This window comes from Homo sapiens, chromosome 15, assembly GCF_000001405.40.
Source record: "Homo sapiens chromosome 15, GRCh38.p14 Primary Assembly".
NCBI lineage: Eukaryota > Metazoa > Chordata > Mammalia > Primates > Hominidae > Homo > Homo sapiens.
Genome location: NC_000015.10, coordinates 78,382,364 through 78,385,630, shown reverse-complemented (window position 1 = coordinate 78,385,630; position 3,267 = coordinate 78,382,364). Strand labels below are relative to the sequence as shown.

The 3,267-nt window shown below is 46.1% G+C and overlaps 1 pseudogene; it reads right to left on the bottom strand.

The window, feature by feature from the left end:
• RWDD1P1 (RWD domain containing 1 pseudogene 1) lies at positions 2,311-3,059 on the bottom strand (annotated as a pseudogene).

The window sequence follows — 3,267 nt, the reverse complement described above, 5'->3', positions numbered from 1 at the left end:
CTGCTGGGAATTTGAGTAAGATGAAGACAGAGAAGTGATCTGTAGCTCTGGGCTGGTAGAGGTCACTTGTGACTCTGAGAAGGGCCTTTTTAGAGTCAGCATGGATAGAAGAGCCCCATTAGAGTGGACAGAGGCGTTTACTTATATACCAAGGACACCAAGAAATGAGTAACATCAGTTGGCTCTGGGGAGGGAAACCAGGTGGCTGGGACCAGGAGTGGAGATAAGCTTACTTTTCATCATGTGCTTCTTTTGTACTATGTTACAAGCACCTATTCAAAATGCCACAATGGGGTGAGGAAAGAATGGGCAGTAAAACAGAAGAGTGGGGACACCAAATATAGACAACTCCTTGGAGATGTGCCGGGAAAAGGAAAAGAGAAATGGGTTAATGTGGGGCCACGCTAAGGTTTCCTAAGAGGATGTTTAGGCACGGATGAGAGTGGTCCTGCAGAGAAAGGGAGATGGACAGTGTGGGAAGAGAGGCGATAACTGCAGAAGCGAGATCCTTAAAGAGGCCCAGGTGGGGCTGACCTGAGATGGAAGTCAGGACAGACATTTCATCTCATGTGGCAGGAAGGAAGGTGGGGCTGTAGGTTTAAATACAGTGCGATGGTGGAATAGGCAGGGGAGATGCTGAGGTCATCAGTTAAGGGTGTCTGTGTTGGGGCAGGGAGAAGGTATTGAAGTTTCAAGAAAAGAGAATGGAGGCCTGGCCTGGCCACTACCCACTCTCCTGGCGCAGCCACAGTCTCGGCTGCTGCAGGATGCCTGGGGTCTGGGCGATCCATGGACAGCAGTGAGGGCTACATTGACAGATTACGGCAAAGAGCAGAGCAGTTAGCTGGAGGATAGGGAGTCCGTCTACCTTTCCTCCTTCACAGACAGGTGTCTCTCAGCTACCACTGCATAGCTCCAGTCCTGCTCACGTTCTCTCACCAGCAGTACATCTGTGCTGTAAGGATGTTCAGGGGATGAGTGAAGAGGAGTCTGAAAGTGTCATTAACTGGCTTGATTGCACCTTGATCCAACTCTGCTAACAACTAGTCTCCCCAAGTACAAATGGACTCTCATCATACCACATTCTCCTTCAGTAGTGCTTCACTTGACGAGGTTGTGCTAAGTGTTATCAGAAAATCCACCCTGGCCAGGTGCAATACCTCACGCCTGTAATCCCAGCACTTTGGAAAGCCGAGGTAGGAGGATTGCTCAAGCCTAGGAGTTTGAGAGCAGCCTGGGCAATGGGGTGAGATCCTTGCCTCTACAAAAAAATTTTTTTAAAAAATTAGCTGGCCACTGATCTGTTCTGTCTCTACAGATTTGGCTGAGCTTCATTCTACTGATCTTTCCAACAACTTTATTTTAGTTGTCCCTCATGGTGGCAGCCCTTCTTGGGCTCCCTCAGGTTTGCACCATGCTCTGAGCATCCATGACAATCCTTGGCTCCTCAATACCCTAAAGCCAACAACAGTCCAATACCAATATCATATTGTCTCCACTCCATCATCACCAACCCAATGCCAATATCCAAGGCCAACACCTCAAATTCACCCAGCCCCTTGTCCCATCATCAATATCTCTCCCTAAAGCTATCTGGTGTGTTGCTACCAGCTGCTCTTCTGAATTCCTGGTAGTCCCAGCTCTGTCCATTCCTGTATTCTCATGCTACCCTACTCCCTGGTGGCCCCTCACCACCAAGAAGCATCTAAGGAGCCAAAGGACCACAGCTGAAGATCCTCTCAGCCAAAGAAGAATCAAGGCAGGCCTCCAAATGCAGAGGAACCCAACTAGCCAACTAGAAGGGAAGTATTTCCACCTTTTTCTTCCCAGAGACGCTCCACCCCCAACTATCGCACTTCAAGTTTATGACCCTAAACCTCAACTAGGCACTCAACACTGCCAAACGAACCTCAAACTGCTTTAGGAAATCTTACCATTCCCTAGAGTGATCATTTCATACATTGTTTCTTCTTCTCTGATTTGAAATTTTAAGTCAGTTTATTAAGTTCAACAATGAAAGCTATCAGAAGAATATTCCCAGCTTGGCATGGTGGCTCATGCCTGTAATAACAGCATTTTGGGAGGCTGAGGTCAGAGGATTGTTTGAGACCAGGAGTTTGAGACCAGCCATAGAGAGACCTTGTCTCTATAAGGAATTTTAGATATTAACCAGAAGTGGTGGTGCACACTTGTAGTCCCAGCTACTTGGAAGGCTCACATGAGCCCGGGAAGTTGAGGCTGCAATGAACTATGATCACACCACTGCACTCCAGCCTGGGTGACAGAGCGAGACCCTGTCTCAAAAAAAAAAAAAAAATTCTCCTTATAATTATTTCTTCTTGGAGAAAAGGAAAGGAAAATCAAAACCCTCTGAGCATAGCCAGGATGCTGTGGCAGTTGAGCTTCTCTGCAGATGGGGACAGTCCTCTGGTCAGTGGAGTCTCTCTCTGGGTCAGCAGGTTTGGAGTCTGGATCATCCTCCTCAATCCCCCGGCTCCAGGTCATCCATTTCCTGGAACAAAGACTCAATTACCTGCACATTGTTTCCAGCATCCTCCAAGAACTGGATATCAGATGTGTCAAGATTTGGATCTGTTTCAAGTAGCTGTTTCCCACTTAATTTATTTTTTCCTGCTTGTTCCTCTTCCATCCATTTCTTTTTAATTTCCAAGCCTTCTGCAGCAAACTCAGCCTTCCAGTTTAAGACATTCTCAATTATAACAGGAATACCATAGAATAATTGCTTTTCAGCTTATTTGGATTTTTTGTTTCTTTTTTTTTCTTCTCTTCTAGTTTTTTTATCTGATCTATTTCATTTAATTTTTCTTGCACAACTGTCACTAAAGATAATCACCATACCAAGATTTTCTTCAGCCTGTAATGCTAAGATTTTTTAAATGTCTGAGACATTATCTTCTAGATTTTCTGAGAATACTTCATAAAGGCAAGCTTTATCTGGGTATTTCTCCTTGTCTGTAAACTTGAGGGTAGTCTGGACAGTTTCATCATTTTCTCCAGCCTCAGATGTCACAGTAATGGTGAAGCTGGCTGGATTTTCTCTTTTTTTCTTTACTTTTTTTTTTTTGAGACAAAATCTCACTCTGTTGCCCAGGCTGGAGTGTAGTGGCAAAATCACAGCTTACTGCAGCCTCTACCTCCTGGGTTCAAGCCATCCTGCCACCTCAGCCTCCTGAGTAGCTAGCTGATTCTACAGGTGCCCCGGTTTGGGCAGGCGGCAGCAGTGGCACCTGGGGAGCTCCCACCAGC